Source organism: Homo sapiens, chromosome 17 (assembly GCF_000001405.40).
Source record: "Homo sapiens chromosome 17, GRCh38.p14 Primary Assembly".
NCBI lineage: Eukaryota > Metazoa > Chordata > Mammalia > Primates > Hominidae > Homo > Homo sapiens.
Genome location: NC_000017.11, coordinates 10,692,636 through 10,709,496, shown reverse-complemented (window position 1 = coordinate 10,709,496; position 16,861 = coordinate 10,692,636). Strand labels below are relative to the sequence as shown.

Here is a 16,861-nt window from a genome sequence, read left to right as displayed (position 1 = left end):
CCTATGCTGGTTCCCCCTCATTTCCCCAACGTCTTACCAGGAGTGCCTGAATGCTTGGTCCTCGGACTTCTCTATTTATACTGAATGCACTGGTGATCTCTTAGTGATTTACATGCCTTAAATGTCATCTACACTCTTTCAACTTCCACGTTTATTATCTAGCCCAAATCTCTATTCTGAATTTCAGACTTCTAATGTCCAAACTGCCCACTCAACATCTCCACTGATGTCTAGTAGGCATCTGAAACTTCTATTTCCAAACCTGAAGCCCTACCCTCTCCACTCGCACTTCTCATCCTGCAGTGTCCCCTATCTCAGCTAATGGCAATTCTATCCTTCCAACTGCACGGCCAAAATTCAAAAGGTATAGGATGACCTTGGAGTAGCCATAATGAAAGTTAAAAAGCAAAAGAAAATTTTTTTATTACACTTTAACTTTTAAACTTTACTAAAGAAAACTTCAATCATTCCGTTTTTAAAAGTTTGCTTTTCCAGTTTCTAGGCTTACATCAAATGGTAGAAGAAATGTAAGAGACTGCTAAATTAGATAGGTGTACCGCCATGAGTAAAAAGAAAAGGGAAGAACACAGGATCACATGGGAAAGGGGATGGAGACATAAAGCATGGATTCTAGTCTCAGTGCTGTCAGCAGCTCCATGATTCTGCTATGCAATTCAGTCTCTTTGGGCTTCAGTTTCCTTATCTTTAAAATTCAAAGGTTTGGCTATATGACTCTAGCTTCCTTTCAGCTCCAGAACAGGCTGAGAGTGGAAAACTTAAAAGCAGACACAAGTCAAGAAGTATCCTAGTTTCTGAGACCACTTATTATAGAGCCAAAAGGTGTCACATCATTCCAACAACCCAAGGGCACTCATCTCTTCCAACCCTTGAATGACACCTGGTATTCCAGTGTTAGCAGAAACACTTCTGCTCCTTCTACGTGTTTTTACCACATCAGTGGAAGATTAGTAAGTAAAAACTACCTTTACAGATAGAAATATAGTTTTATATAATCAACTATCTGAATAGCCTATCATTTTCAAAGGTTTTTTTTTTTTTTTTTTTTTGAGACGGAGTTTCACTCTTGTTGCCCAGGCTGGAGTGCAGTGGGGTGATCTTGGCTCACTGCAACCTCTGCCTTCTGGTTTCAGGTGATTCTCCTGCCTCAGCCTCCCGAGTAGCTGGGATTACAGGCGCCTGCCACCACGCCCGGCTAATTTTTGTATTTTTAGTAGAGACGGGGTTTCACCATGTTGGCTAGGCTGGTCTCGAACTCCTGACCTCATGATCTGCCCACCTCAGCCTTCCAAAGTGCTGGGATTACGGGCGTGAGTCACCGTGCTTGGCCAGGGGTTTCATATTCATAATTTCATTAGATACACTACTGAGAACACTGCAGTTTGTAGGTTTGCTATTTGCCCAGGACTACACAGTTCATATAAACCAGAGCCAGAATGGCATCCTGTCCTTCCAGCTCTCAGTCTAGCCTTCTCACCTGTTATCCCACATCAATTCTAACTCTAAACCAAGGGTTCTAATCTCAACCTCCAAACCAAGTCTCCCAGCCATGCTGCAAACCCAAATTCAGTTCCGTGTATGTTTTCACGTGCCCATGCGCACATACACGCTTGTATGTTTTAAGCACCCCTGGATTCCTACAATCTCTGATGGCAGTGTACCCATCAAAAATGATTCTATATGAAAATACAAATCTAACTTCCTTGTGACTGTGTGGGAGGCACAGCTTGCACAGTGCTCAGTGCCAGCCGAGCCTGTAGCACACATGCCCTGTGATACCAGTTTTGCTGCATCTGGGCAGCAGTGGCCTCTGTTTGGTGGCCACTTTGCTGATAGGCAGGTCTCTAAGGCTGAGATTTGGTATGGTCCCCTAACTGAATTTCTCACTTAGAAATTACTTCATTAGAGTTTATGAAACTCAGGGCTTCCCTACCTTGAGGAAAGGATCCAAGCCCTGGTAATGACTTCCACTAACAAATTGTTTAGTGTGGTGTCAAGCTCCTTTATAAGCTGATTGCAACCTGGATTCCACACTTTAGAATTCAGCTTGGTGTTTTTTGTTTGTGCTTGGTTTTATTTATTTATGTATTTATTTATTTATTTTTGAGATAGGGTCTTGCTTTGTCACCCAGGCTGGAGTGCAGTGGCACAACCTTGGCTCACTGCAACCTCCACCTCCCGGTTCACGCAACTCTCCTGCCTCAGCCTCCCAAGTGGCTGGAACTACAGGCACGCACCACCATGCCCTGCTAATTTCTTTTTTGTATTTTTAGTAGAGAGAGGGTTTCACCATGTTGGCCAGGCTGAATTCAGCTTGTTCTTAATTTTGAGTCAAGTTTCTTGGTAATTTTTATGTCTTAGTTATCATGGTGAAGTCATCTCACCTTTGGGTTCTTGCTTCTCTTATGGAGAGAAGGTTCAAAAAACAAAAAACAAAAGAAACTTAGAAAAAGCCAAACTTCTGGAGTTTTTATTTTTGTATTAATGTCAATATTCTGCTTGTGATATTATACTAAAGTTTTACAAAATGTTAATGTTGGGGGAAACAGCAAAGCATATAAGTGATTGCTCTGAATTATTTCTTACAAATGCACGTGAATCTACAATGATTTCAATAATAATATTAATGTTTAAAAAAGAAATTACTTCATAAACTGATCTCATTTGAGGAAATTCGACTTTGAACCTAAAAGGCCAACTCACAGGCTCCAATATATGGCAAGATGTTTCTGTTATTTACCTTTTCCTGGTTCATCCTTAAATGTTAATCTTATATTCAGGTGGTTTCTCAATAGAAATTTTTAAACTAAGTGTCCATTTTATAGAAAGAGGATATCGAAACACAAATATTGTTAGTATGCTTTAACGCCTAACTTTTCCCAATCTCTAAAATGTTAGTGTAATCAGATAAATTAAATACTTACTCACAATCACCACCTTTTCTTGGTTTGTGTCAGAGAATGTTAGCACTTCATTCAACCAGTTTAGCTGTTCTTGGCTGAATCCTCCATTAAACTGGACAAACTGGGGCTCAGAAAGTCCTGAAATGAATTCAGTAAGTTAGCCCCATCAAGTCATTTTTCCCCTCATTTGGACATTCAAATTTAGTTAATGTAGGGACACTTGTTTTTTCTTTAGGAATATCTGATTAGCAACAATCAACTTAAAATAGGAAATCACAAGCATTTAGAGAAATATATATATATATATCACACTGCATCTCACTCTTGACAGTCCCCTGCTTACTTCGCTGGCTTTCCATTATATTAAAAATGCAAACTTCTTAAGTCCACTCAGCCGCTACATATTCTTGGCCCCGTTTACACTCTAAAATCACCTTGTACCCCACTGGCCCTTTCCTGTGCTCTTCAACAATGCTCAAGTCTTACTCCATTTAGTGCCTTTGCAGGTTTTTCCCTCAGTCTGCTAACTCCCTATGCCCATTCATTCCAAGGGAGACTCCTCCTTGTCATTTAGGTCTCAGCTTAAATATCTTTCTCCTTGGAGAGACCTTCCCTAATCACCTAATCTAAAATAGCAACCCTAATCCTTTTCCGTAACACTCTATAACATCATACTCTATTTCCTTGGCAGCACTTACGACCGTGGAAATAATCTTGTTTCTGTTTCATTTATCATCTGTCTTGCCCACGTACTGTGTTTGTTCCCTCCATTCCATCCATCAAAAAAGTAATATTGTTAGTATTGTTTACAGCTCGGAATATCTACCCCTAGAAAAAGTGCCTGGCCTAAAATAGGCATTTAAAATATCTGTTAAATCAATCTTGAATCAACTGTAACCAATCCATGTGAGAAGGCTTGTGAGAAATCCTGACCCTGAACAAGTGACAATATACTTTTACCTTAATTGTCCATCTTCCTGCTGAATAAAAGGTAGCTGAAGAATTTAAAGACAATCTATTAGATTCTCAGCTCAAAGGAATAATTCACCTTGAGGACTATTCAGTTCCGTATTTGGATTGTGCTCCCTCAATATCTTCATACACTGCTCGTATTTTGGAGAAGACTGATCCACGCCCAAGACACTCAAGTCATATGCATCAAGTAAAATGAACCGGAATTTAGGGAATGGTACAAAATGATAAGCATAATAATCTTCTGAAGGCATGGTCTCAGGATGATGTACAATCTGATCTTCTAGAAACTTAGTGTTAAGTTTAGAGTGTGTTAAATACTCTCTACTGAAGTTATAGAATTCATGGTTTCCCCATGTATGATGAACTGGAACTTTAAGCCTCTTGAACATGTCCATAACAAGTTCTAGGGACTTTTTGGATGCATTATACTGTGCATTATATCCATCGATGATATCTCCAAGCTGAAGGACACAACAGGGCATGCTGCTTTCATTATTCCAGTCTTCAATGGCACCCTGTAAGTGAAGAAGACTATGTCTGTAGTATCGCCGCCTGGTTCCTTGGAAATTAAAGCCATCTTCTAAGTCTGCAAATTGAACATCTGCGATGACGCCAAAGGAGAAAAGACGCTCTGAACTGTCACTTAGGGCTTCAGGATTGGGTTTATCATCCATAACCTCCAAACAGGTTTCTAAATAAAGTAAAAAGACGATAACTAAATTATAAACGTTTTAATTTCCCAATTTCACTTAAGAAAATGATAAAGGGAATGTTAAAGGTTAATTCATTAGGCAGCTTGGTACAGGAAAAAGTACGTGGGCTTTAGAGCCCAACAGTCTTAGGTCTAAACTACTAACCCTCTAAAACACTTGCTTTCTCTTCTGTAAAACAGATGATAAACTCTTTCAGAAGAGTAACAATTTACAAAAGGTACTATCCTATCAATAAATAGACATTCTAATGCTAATAAAGCCCAATTTAAATCTGGAATAATTGCTAATTTTTAAGAAATACTCATTTTAAACACACATGCACACGCACACACATATACCCCTGTCCCACAAACACCAAATAATTCTATCAAAACTTCAAGTTTTTTTTTTTTTTTTTTTTTGGAAAGCTGTGTATTACATTCATTCACTGTATGTACTTTGTAAAAGGTTCCTGTTATGGGTTATTTTGTGTCAGGCTGAATCTTTTCTCTTCCTTGGTGGGTAGGTCACCCAGTTTCTCATATTTTATATCTGAATAGGTGAGTGGGAGGCAATGCAGATATGAAAGGAGAGGAATAATTTTAAACAACAACAAAAATCCAGCACAAAAACTAACTGACATGACTATTATCATTTCTGTGAGCAGTGGTTCCCGGTTCTTCAATAGCTGGGATTAAAATTTGCTTTGTTTGTGGTTTTTGTTTTTGTTTTTGACAGGGTCTCACTATGTTGCCCAGGCTGGTCGTGGACTCCTGGGCTCAAGCAATCCTTCCACCTCAGCCTCCCAAGTAGCTGGGATTACAGGTAAGAGACACCACACCCAGCCCTGGATCCTAATTTGAACCAGGATTTTTTTTTCTTTTTAACTTGAATATTAAGCTACCCCACAATCAAAACCAAAAATATGAAATCTTTTCTTCTTACAAATGATCTCTGCCCTGCCTCAGTGGCCAAAAAGAGCAAGATTTAAACTTGAAAAAACTATTATTCGATTGTTTAAACTGTAAATTATAATCTCTTAAAAGAGCCCAGAACGCTAATGATTCAAACAAAACTCAAAGGCCAAGATTCTAAATTGTCAACGATTTTTGTCATAAAGACTATAGTAATAAACTGTTGCTGTGGTGTCTGAATTATTTAAAACCTAAAAATTCATTTGACTTTCTAAAATTACTTTCAGACTCCCCATCTCTAGTCATTTGACAAATATATCTACAGAGTTCCTACTTAATCCTCTGTGGACATGTAAAATCCCAACTCTAAGAGTACTCCTATAAGAGATGAAAAGAACAACTCCACAATTGGAATAAGGATAAGACTTCAATTTGACTTATTTGAGAATTAGGGGCCTCTTTTCATCCTAAAACTGTTGTTACTAATGATACACTCTTTAATCCACCTAATTATGAGTTTCAGCTACTTTCTTCCTTAATCTGGTTGGGTATAACTAGCCCTAAAATAGGTAACAGCACCAGAAAGAGATGGAAATCCTTAAACATGGTGTTCTCATACTTTTTTTTAATTTGCCCATTTCTTCCTGCAGCCCCTACCTGAAAATCTCATTAGATATCAAGTCAGTATGTATGAGGGTGTATAAATGAGAGGTAATCTGATTTGAAAAGTGGGTAACTTCAATACAATTACAGGACAAAAATCCATCTAAGTCAGTTTAAAAATCTTTAGCCTTATGTTAGGTTTCAAATATTTGCGATTCCAAGTTCAGATTAATAGAAGAATCAAATCAGAAGATAACTTAGCAAGTATATAACATGAATATTATCACCAAGGTTGTATTAACCTTGGTGATATTAACCATTAAGGTTATATTAACCATTAAGAGTTATATTAACTCTTAAGAGAAAACTATTTCTGGGGGTGATCTTATCCCCTGCCAAGTGAGCTTGTTTTTATCTTTAAACTCAGAGCCTTTATGGTGATAATATGTATTGTGGATCTCCTAGAGGGGATTTAGTCCCAATGAATTGGATCTTCTCTCCAGTGGACAGCTGTTATTTTTGCCTACCCAGCATTCATTTCCTGTTCTTAAGGTGACAGCACCCAATTTTTCTCTAGGCATTTATCCAATTCCCCACTCTCAGTTCTTGTGGTCTGACCTCCAACCCCATTCACTGGCTGGGGAAGTGAAATAGCAGACACATGGCCCAGACCTGGCCCGTAAAAACCCAGTTTCCTCTGGCCAGTTAGGGGTAGGCATGTAACTCAACCTGGGTCACAATAAGCATCAGCCCTGGGACAGGCACTGCCACTACTACAAACGCTGATAAACTAAGGCTTCAATTTTTGGAGAAAATGAACTGACAAGAAATCCAACATAGAAAGAAACAATTCTGAATGATGGAAAGATGGAGATTTCTGAAAACATTAGTTGAATACCTAAATTCACCTGTCCCTGCTAGAACACTGGTCATTTAGTTACACATGTCAGCACATAAATTCTCCTGGGCTTAAAGCTAAATCAAATTGATTTTCTGTCATTTGATACCAAAATCCTCTCAAATACACCTTCCACTGGAACAAGTTCAGTTTAGAAAAACTCAAGGCTATCCTAAGAACTGGCAATTTTTAAGGAAAGTTAATGTGGAGAGAAGCACCAAGGGGCACACACTTCAAAACAGCGATGTGTTCTGGGGTAAAAAGAGAGATCCAAAGTGTTGAATATACATGGCTTTTAAAAATAAGGTTAGTATCTCCTTATCCAAAATGCTTGGGACCAGAAGTGTTTTAGATTTCGGACTTTTTCAGATTTTGGAATATACTTAACAGTTGAGCATTCCTGATCTGAAAATCCAAAATCCAAAATGCTCCAATTAACATTTCCTTTGAGCTTCATGTTGGTGCTCAAATTTCTGATTTGGGGCCATTTCAGATTTCAGAAACATATTCAGGGAAAGATAGGATCAGAAGTGAGTACGGCAGTGCAAAAAGAACCAGGTGGTCAGGGAATTGACTCTCCTGGCGAGTTTAGCCTTTCCTTTCTTGGTTCAGGGACATGTAGGGGGAGCTCAGAAAGATTGGTCCTGGTGAACAGAGAGATCAAAAACTCAAAGCCACCTCCAGTGAGGAAACTTAGAATTAATAAGCATTCTAATGTCAGGAAATGTTTTCAAAATAGCTCCCTCCCTCCATCAAATACAGACACACAAAAAAATCAGTGAGTACAGGATAATTGTGGAAGCTAGAAATGGGTGCATGAAGTTTATTCTAACTACTTTTATGTGTGTTTAAAAATGTACATATAGGCCAGGCGTGGTGGCTCACGCCTGTAATCCCAGCACTTTGGGAGGCCAAGGTGGGCGGATCACGAGGTCAGGAGATCGAGACCATCCTGGCTAACATGGTGAAACCCCATCTCTACTAAAAATACAAAAATTAGCCGGGTGTGGTGGCAGGCGCCTGTAGTCCCAGCTACTCAGGAGGCTGAGGCAGGAGAATGGTGTGAACCTGGGAGGCGGAGCTTGCAGTGAGCCGAGATCGCGCCACTGCACTCCAGCCTGGGCAACAGAGCGAGACTCCATCTCAAAAAAAAAAAAGTATACATAAAGTTTTTTTAAAAAAGAAAATTCAAAACTTTAGAGAAAATCAAATCTGGAAAAATTAGAAGACCTAAGGAAATATTTCGCTTTTGAATAGAAAGGAGAATGGCAAGTTTTTAGTGAACTTTGTTTTCAAAGTTTGCCTGCACCATTTATTACATGCTACGCTGTCTAAGTTTTAAAGAGGTATTATGAAGTGCTGAACCCTTTGAAATGAAAAACCCAGAACTGAATTATAGTCCTCGTGTTTCCTGAAGCAAAATAACCCTCAATAGGTTATCGTGAGCTTCAACTGAGTTATGATCACAGTAAACTATTACTCTGTAAATCTCTAAACCATAAAGTACTATACGCATGTTAAGAAAATAATTTTAAAATTATATATCTGAAAATCTGTCTAATGAGCCTCATAACTGAAACTACTGCAACATTTTAATAGAAGAGAATAATGTAGAAAAGTTTACAAGAGTTGCTCTCAAAATTCCTATCATGTCATAGTACAGGATAAGCAGCCAGTATTTTGAGAAAACTACCTTAGGCATGAGAGATTTTTTTTTTTTTTTTTTTCCTGAGACAGGGTCTGGCTCTACTGCGCAAGCTGGAGTGCAGTGGTGCGATCATGGCTCACTGTAGCCTCGACTTCCTGGGCTCAAGTGATCCTCCTAATTCAGCCTCCCTGGTAGCTAAGACTACAGGCATGTACCACCACACCTGACTTTTTTTGGCTTTTTTTTTTTTTTCTTTTGTAGAGATAGGGTTTTGCCATGTTGCCCAGGCTGGTCTCAAGCTCCTGAGCTCAAGTGATCCACCTGCCTCAGGCCTCCCATACCCAAGGATGCTTAATTACTGAAAAGTTACTACAAGATCATACTAATAGGGTTTTGCCATGTTGCCCAGGCTGGTCTCAAGCTCCTGAGCTCAAGTGATCCACCTGCCTCAGGCCTCCCATACCCAAGGATGCTTAATTACTGAAAAGTTGCTATAAGATCATACTAATAAAACTTTTCCAATACTTAAGATTGGCAGAAGGCTGAAGTTCCTTGTGGAAAGCCTTCAAGCATCAATAATGAACTTGTAAAAGAAGTAGCTCTACCCTGAAAAGAGTATGATTTCTTCACTCTATTGTCAAAGGTGAAGGGGGCAGCAGGGAAAGTCTAGAGATTAATAAAGAGAGACTTTGTTAGGAGAAACTATTGTAACAGAGGCTCCTAGCCTAAGGGTGCAGCATATGTTTTCTACGCAGATACCATACCAAAAGGAAAGTTAAGTTGGGGCAGGAAATGTTTGTGGTTAGGAGTTAGGCACAAGGGGCAGGGGCCTGGAACAAAAATGAAGTAAACACATTAGGGTGCTGGGAAGTTCACAAAAGTTAGGGCCTAGCTGTCCCCAGTCAAACCAGCCTAAAGTTATGTCAAGAACAAAATCTGATCACTATTGATAGAACCAATATCAGATGATACTAATCCATGCCCTGCTTCTCTCAAGAAAAATATCTAAATTGGGGCCGGGTGTGGTGGCGCAAGCCTGTAATCCTAGCACTTTGGGAGGCCGAGGCGGGCAGATCACGATGTCAGGAAATCGAGACCGTCCTAGCTAACATGGTGAAACACTGTCTCTACTAAAAATATATATATTTTTTAAATTAGACAGGCCTGGTGGCACGCACCTCTAGTCCCAGCTACACGGGAGGATGAGGCAAGAGAATCGCTTGAACCCAGGAGGCGGAGGTTGCAGTGAGCTGAGATCGCACCACTGCACACTCCAGCTTGGGCGACAGAGGGAGACTTTGTCTCAAAAAAAAAAAAAAAAAAAAAAGAAAGAAAAGAAAAATATCTAACTTGGAAAACAAAACATAAACCTCATTTGGTGACTTTGGTGGTTTCACAGCAGTAATAAAAGTGATAAGGTCTATAAGGGATAACACTGTAGGCGCCTTCTGGCACTAAAGTTTCATGGGTCCTTGCCATCAGGCTCAGGTGTTACTAGCAATTCATCCAAAATGCAGTTATAAAACACCTACTTTGAGCCAGGAACTATATTTTATATTTATTTTATTTATTTTTTAGAGGCAGAGTCTTGCTTTGTTGCCCAGACTGGAAGGCAGTGGCCCGATCACAGCTCACTGCAGCTTCAAACTCCTAGGCTCCAGTGACCCACTCACCTCAGCCTCCCAAAGTGATGGGATTACAGGCGTGAGCCACCACATCTGGCCCCAAGAACTGTTTTCAATGATAGCATTTTATTTAATATTATAAAATTAATATGAAGAAGTTGCTACTAAAAGAAGCACTTTAGCAAATAAAATTTAATAGATCAGGTAGAAACACTGACTTCAATCTTAATTTGGGTGGCTGATCAGGTAACCTACAATTGGGCAATCAGAGATGAACAATAATTTTGTATGCTATCTGCCTGACTACACAAGGTACTTTTATGTCTTTTTGTCAATTACAAGAAAAAATTATCCCTGGGCAAACAAATACACAAAGATAAAAGAGCAAAAATCCTACCCACAGGCAACTATAAGATAGAAAAAAATAGTTTGATTAACGACTTGAAGTGCTGAACAAACATTTAAGAACTTTGGCAGAAATTTCTGAAAATTCTAGTCCAACCGCGAATCAAGAAACACAGGTAACACTATGTTCCGTTACTGGGTTAGAGAACAGAACAGTTGGCTAGTTTGGCTAACTCATAGAAAACAAGCAAACCAACCATGCTCTGGTCCAACAATCATCAGAGCACGAGTTTCTCCTACTCAGAGTCGGTCCCATGGGGGAAAAAAAAGCCACACAGGAGCGGGATCTGTAGTTAAGGAAGATAATTAGAGGACGATTTTCCTTTTTTTATTTCTCTGTATTTTGTAAAGCAACCACCGAGGTAGGGGCGGGGAGGGAGTGGTTAATATTGCGGATATTAAGATATAAATAAAGGCAGATGAAATGAAGTTAGACTTTCACAAAGAACGAAAAACCTACGAATGCTCTTGGCCTCATTAACAAGGAACATAAGCAGTTCCAGATGAGGAACCCATAACAAACTTCAAATAACGAAACTGTAGGGAGCAAGGGAGTCCGTGAGAGTATTTTAAGAAACTGGGACCCAGGAAGACTAAGTTAACGGATGGGATATCATGCTGTCTATATTTCTTTACACACTGCTATGCTTTATTAATTAGGTTACATTATAATGTTAAATAACTAGAAGCGCTGGGCATTTAAAGTTCTTCCAGACCGCCCTAACCACTCAAATTATCCTAATTAGCAATTTTTTTTAAGTTAAAGACTATTTCAATCGCAATGGGTCGGTTTCTATTTCAAAGATGTAAAGGAGTCAACATTCTGGCACTTCCTCTTGGCCGGCAGGACGAGGTTGACAAAGTCGGCCAGACAAGGTAGGGTTATGGGGGCTGCCCAGTCCCGTGGGTCTCTAGGCAGTGTGTTCTCTCTTCCGAGGTGGGGGTGTCCCCGGCGCGAGGAGCTAGCTGTGGTCACCGAAGCCCACGACCAAAGCGGGGGCCCCCAGCGCTTGGGGCCGCCTTGCCTCGGCCCAGCCGCGCACCTGGACCCCTAAGGCAGCCCCCTTCCCGGCGCTCCGCTGTCCCGCGGCCCCGCAGCACCGCCCAGCCCGCGCCAGACCCGCCTCCAGCCGCAGGGAACTACCTACCGTGCGCCGGCCCCTGGGCTGAAAGGCCTCTGACTACGGGCTATGTAACAGCGCCACCAACGAGCGGGACGGACAGAGCGACTCCTTCCGACTTCCGGAGGAAGCGGAACGCTACCGGAAATCGCGGGGAGGGTCAAAGGAGACCCGGTCTCCGAGGCTCATGGCGATGCTGGTCCTAGTACCCGGACGAGTTATGCGGCCTCTGGGTGGCCAACTTTGGCGCTTCTTGCCTCGCGGACTCGAGTTTTGGGGCCCAGCCGAGGGGACTGCGAGAGTCTTGCTGAGGCAGTTCTGCGCGCGGCAAGCGGAGGCGTGGCGTGCCTCGGGGCGCCCTGGCTATTGCCTGGGAACCCGGCCCCTCAGCACTGCGAGGCCGCCACCCCCGTGGTCGCAGAAGGGCCCCGGAGACTCCACGCGCCCCTCGAAGCCCGGGGTGAGTGCACACCTGGAACCCTTCTGGTGCTCGTCGCGGCTGTCGGCCAGCCCAGCGGCCACATCCCACTTGGTCGTAACCTCAGACACTACTCCGCCTCCCCTAAAGTTGTCCTTAGCTTGCGCGCCTTACCTGGGTCATGGAATTTCATCCTACATTTCCCGTGCCTTGCGGGTAGTCCCAGTTCTCCACAGAGAACTTGAGACTTTACACCCTCTCCACGTGGCTGGATGCCCCGACTTGGATTTTATGTTAGCGTTTCCATCAAAAAAAAAAAAAAAATTAAGTTTCAGGTTTTCTTAAGGGTATGAACCTAAAGTTTACCGTGATTGAGAAGTCAGAGGACTTTTATAATTTGTCACTTGAGCCCCATCCAGAGTTCCATGTATACGTTGAAATTGAAACAAAAAGTGGAACTTAGTTATGTGTGGATCTGCCTTTTTCTTGGGGTTCTCTCGAGTTCTAATTCTGACCCAGAAATAACTTGAGAGCCACTACCCTGTGGTAAGAGAAGTGGGTTTTTGGAGCTACGGGAAGGTTAATGAGTTAGGCCTAGTCTAGTTGGCCAACATCATCTTCATTTGGGGAGTTGAATAAGGGTACAAAGAAATAATGGGTGTAATTTGCAAGAAGCTCCACTTTTAGATTCCTCTTCTACTTTGGCATTGTTACTTCTGGAAGCCAGAGTTAAGTTAACCTCCCAAATTTCGTTTGGTCTATTTATCTCAGTATCAGCATAAGCAGATAATTGTTTTTTGTGTGTGTGTTTTTGGATTTTGGTTTTTGTTTTGAGACGGAGTTTTGCTCTTTTGCCCAGGCTGGAGTGCAGTGGCCCTATCTCGGCCCACTGCAACGTCCGCCTCCCGGGTTCAAGCGATTCTCCTGCCTCAGCCTCCCGTGTAGCTGGGTTTAGAGGGGTCCGCTACCACGCCCGGCTAATTTTTGTATTTTCAGTGGAGATGGGGTTTCACCATGTTGGCCATGCTGGTCTCAAACTCCCGACCTCAGGTGATCCACCCGCCTCCGCCTCCCAAAGTGCTGGGATTACAGGCGTGACCCACCGCGCCCGGCCATAATTGGTTTTAAAGTCATTACTGGAGCTAGGGTCACACATAGTAACAATCGTGGTACTTGAGCTTTTTTTTTTTTTTTTTTTTTTTTTTATTTACATGAAGAGAACTGACTTAGGGAACTTTCCCCTGGAGATGAATGCCTTTGTAGTTCAGATCCCAGACCTAACTGCATCCACAGAAACTTTGAGCATTTTCTCATCCCTGAAACATTTTGCACATTTAACATCATGGCCTGTGTGTATGTATATTAAAAACTACTTTAATAAGTTTGTATGGTTAAATGTTTGCATCTTACTAGAATTTTTATGTTTGAAATCCCTGCCCCAGTAGCCTGTTTCCTGGAAGTCTTTAGCAATCACATTTGCTATTGGAGGAGCTTTACTGGCTGGAATGAAGCACGTCAAGAAAGAAAAGGCAGAGAGTAAGTAGATTATCATCTGCTCAGCCCTGTATAAAGGTCTTCCTGGCTATGGACTAGCACCTTTTTTGTTGTTTTTTAGCTTTTTGTTTTGAAACAACTTTAGATTTACCAAAAAATTGCAAAGATAGCATAGGTTCTACATACCTTTCACCCAGCTTCCCCTAATATTAACATCTTGTATAACCATGACACATTTTTCATGACTAAGAAATTTTAAATGGCACACAACTATTAAATTACAGATTGTATTTGGATTTCACTTGTTTTTCTATCAATGTCTTTTATTTGTTCCAGGATCCAAGCTAGGATACCACTGCATAACAATGTTAAAAGATATACTGTGGATAGATTTGACTGGGCAAGATGAAATCTGGAGGGTACGAAGATGAGTAAGATGTAGTCGAGCCTTTGAGGTGCACACGGAAGGGAAACAGACACAGAAGTAAAGTATTTTACTAGATGCGATTCTGCCAGGCCAGAAGGAAGCTTACCATGTTGTGAGAGCAAAAGCAAGTCCCAGCCTTGAGATTTGAGAAGGCTTCCTAGAGATCAGGCAAGGAGCATAGTGCGAGTAGATACTGCATGCCCTCTGTGGATGAGGGGGAGGTGAAAAGAGCCTGGTCAGGAAATGCCAGGAACTGCTCTGGATTAGCATCTTGAAATATTTAGAAATTATTTATAAGAACTTTGCATTTTAGTGAATATCCTAGGACTTTTAAGATTTGGTTTAGAGGTTTTAGGTAAATCTTTAAAGTATTGCTTAAATCTTTCCATTCTTTGGAGTCTCTTTTGATAACATTATATACAAAGGTTAATGATTAAATCTGGGAATTCATAGGCTTTAGGAACTTAGCAGTGTTAAGTTTTGTACTGACATACATATATATGAGACTCTTTGGCATAATAAGTAGTATTGGGTAAGATTTTCATAGTCTAATAAGCAGTAAGTTTCTTTAGTTTCACAAAGAAACAAAAGCTAGGAAAGTTGTGGCGGGAAAATTCTAGAATATGGAAGCTTTTTTTGACTTTAGTTTGGAATTTCAAGTGCAATTCTAACGTTTGTTTTATTTAAAAAATGTATTATTAAATAATCTGAAAAGTCTTCCTAAATAATTTGAGAGTATTTATTTGCTGACATGTTGCGTCATTAGCTCCAAACACTTTTTGGTGTATTTCCTACAAACAAGGACCTTTTCTAGCATAACCACAATACAACCATCAAAATTAGAAAATTGACGCTGATAATTTTGCTGCTGTTCAGTGTTCAGATAATCTTCAGGGTATTGTTTATTTGTTTGTTTTTTGAGACAGAGTTTCACTCCTGTTGCCCAGGCTGGATTACAGTTCAGTCTTCCAAGTTTTGCCACTTGATGTCTTTCAGAGCAAAAGGATCTGTTTCAGAACCATACCACCTTGTATCTAGTTGTTTACCTTAGCCTCCTTCATCTGTAACAGTTTCCCAGGCTTTAACTGACTCCCACAACCTTGACAGCTTTGACAGTTACAGGAGAGTTATTTTGTAGAATGCCCCTTAGCTTGGATTTGTCTGATGTTTCCTCATTCAGGTCATTCGGGTTGTGTACCTTTGGCAGGAATATCACAAAAGTGATGCTGTATTCTCCGTGCATCTGGTCAGATACCACATAGTACCAGTTGTCCCATTACTGATAATGTCCAGTTTGATCACTTGATTAATGTGTGTCTAACAGGTTTTCTACTGAAAAGTTACTCATGTAATTAATGGTGTTTCATGATTTGTATTGACATACGTATACTTACATATTCTGTTCCCCATCCCACTATCAATGTATTCATTTATTTATATCTGTGGACTTGTTTCCTATATATTCATTCAGTTTAAATCCATATTCTCTTTATTTTGATGCCCAAGTTGTCCCAGATTGATCAGCGGGAGCCCCCTTGGAGCAGGCTTCTGTGTCTTTGACACGTCTCCAATATTCTCTAAGTTCTGCTTTCCTTCTGCCACAACAAGAGGTTCCAGCCTCATTTTACACTTTCTTTGCCGCAACCCTGGTATCAGCCATTTCTCCAAAAAGCTGTTTCCTTTTAGTGAAGAATGATATTTAGAAGTCAGGTTCTGGGCTCATGGTTCTTGGAGTGTGTCTGCTCCCTGGTCCTCTCAGTGGACATGGTGAGAAAATAGATATATTTATGTACATCTATATTTATTTATATCTATATAGATAGAAGTTCACACTAGTACCTGCAGTGTATTTGCAGTACTGCAGGGTTCAGCCTAGCTCTCTTTCTCTCCATAGTTGACTCTTGTTTCCTATTGTAACTCTCTTCTCTTTAATATACTCATTTATTTCATCAATTTCCTGTGTGTAACTAAGGTCCCGTCACCACTATCACCTCCCCACCCAGCTGCCCTCCTTAGCACCCTCAGGATCAGACTCCCTATGCCAGGCCACCCACCGCACCCCACTTGTTTAGACATTCAGCTCTAGGCCACTGCAGCCCCTCCCTGCCCCCAGCATGGACACAGCTAATGGCTTAGGACTGAATTGTTCCTGAAAAAGAAGAAATATTTTTTCCTTTTTTACAACATACCATAGCATTTCATTTGATTTTGTTTTAATGTTTTGTGCTTATTTTTCTGAAAAGATTTTTTTAGCTTCTTGAAAACTGAAACTGTTTTTTCCACATTTTGTGCCCCCACCATGAGTAGCATAGTACGGGCCATATGTCAGGTATTTGAGTACCTCTGGTTAAATTGACTTTTTTTTTGGTGTCGATATGTTTTTGTCTCCTTAAGAGTTAGAGAAGGAACGGCAGCGACACATCGGCAAGCCTTTACTTGGGGGACCGTTTTCCCTCACAACTCATACTGGGGAGCGTAAAACTGACAAGGACTACTTGGGTCAGTGGTTATTGATTTATTTTGGCTTCACTCATTGCCCTGATGTCTGTCCAGAAGAACTAGAAAAGATGATTCAAGTCGTGGATGAAATAGGTAAGAAAGCCATCACTAACTAAACAAAGTATATGTTTACTTCATGTTACCAGGTTTTTCACACCCTTGTATTATTGTTAGGTGGGGTTTTGCAATTATGTGATTTGTAAGAACATAAAATCTCAGCA

At 40.9% G+C, this 16,861-nt stretch overlaps 2 protein-coding genes across 2 annotated transcripts in view, besides 5 other annotated features; one reads left to right on the top strand and one right to left on the bottom strand.

The window, feature by feature from the left end:
• Nucleotides 1–11,903, bottom strand: part of ADPRM (ADP-ribose/CDP-alcohol diphosphatase, manganese dependent) — a 13,965-nt gene extending 2,062 nt beyond the window's left edge. Inside the window, exons 1-3 of the mRNA NM_020233.5 lie at nucleotides 11,830–11,903; nucleotides 3,970–4,587; nucleotides 2,943–3,059 (exon numbers count right to left, since the gene is read on the bottom strand). Coding sequence (NP_064618.3) covers nucleotides 2,943–3,059; nucleotides 3,970–4,570 — 718 coding nt within the window. The 5' untranslated portion in view covers nucleotides 4,571–4,587; nucleotides 11,830–11,903. The remainder of the gene's footprint in view (nucleotides 1–2,942; nucleotides 3,060–3,969; nucleotides 4,588–11,829) is intronic.
• Nucleotides 11,339–12,163: an enhancer, noted in NCBI's record as "H3K27ac hESC enhancer chr17:10600651-10601475 (GRCh37/hg19 assembly coordinates)". NCBI's record gives its function as "activates a minimal SCP1, AML or CMV promoter by ChIP-STARR-seq in naive H9 embryonic stem cells {active_cell/tissue: H9 hESC(naive)}" and the evidence as "EXISTENCE:reporter gene assay evidence [ECO:0000049][PMID:30033119]".
• Nucleotides 11,536–11,865: a silencer, noted in NCBI's record as "silent region_8201". NCBI's record gives its function as "represses an Ori minimal core promoter by ATAC-STARR-seq in GM12878 lymphoblastoid cells {active_cell/tissue: GM12878}" and the evidence as "EXISTENCE:reporter gene assay evidence [ECO:0000049][PMID:35858748]".
• Nucleotides 11,751–12,045: an enhancer, noted in NCBI's record as "tiled region #5903; HepG2 Activating non-DNase unmatched - State 1:Tss, and K562 Activating DNase unmatched - State 1:Tss". NCBI's record gives its function as "activates a minimal TATA promoter and a strong SV40 promoter by Sharpr-MPRA in HepG2 and K562 cells {active_cell/tissue: HepG2 | K562}" and the evidence as "EXISTENCE:reporter gene assay evidence [ECO:0000049][PMID:27701403]".
• The window catches only part of SCO1 (synthesis of cytochrome C oxidase 1), a 25,060-nt gene continuing 20,162 nt past the window's right edge, over nucleotides 11,964–16,861 (top strand). The window contains exons 1-3 of the mRNA NM_004589.4: nucleotides 11,964–12,262; nucleotides 13,666–13,756; nucleotides 16,536–16,733. Of these exons, the coding sequence (NP_004580.1) occupies nucleotides 11,990–12,262; nucleotides 13,666–13,756; nucleotides 16,536–16,733 (562 nt within the window). The 5' untranslated portion in view covers nucleotides 11,964–11,989. The remainder of the gene's footprint in view (nucleotides 12,263–13,665; nucleotides 13,757–16,535; nucleotides 16,734–16,861) is intronic.
• Nucleotides 11,986–12,035: an enhancer, noted in NCBI's record as "active region_11733". NCBI's record gives its function as "activates an Ori minimal core promoter by ATAC-STARR-seq in GM12878 lymphoblastoid cells {active_cell/tissue: GM12878}" and the evidence as "EXISTENCE:reporter gene assay evidence [ECO:0000049][PMID:35858748]".
• Nucleotides 12,164–12,987: an enhancer, noted in NCBI's record as "H3K27ac-H3K4me1 hESC enhancer chr17:10599827-10600650 (GRCh37/hg19 assembly coordinates)". NCBI's record gives its function as "activates a minimal SCP1, AML or CMV promoter by ChIP-STARR-seq in naive H9 embryonic stem cells {active_cell/tissue: H9 hESC(naive)}" and the evidence as "EXISTENCE:reporter gene assay evidence [ECO:0000049][PMID:30033119]".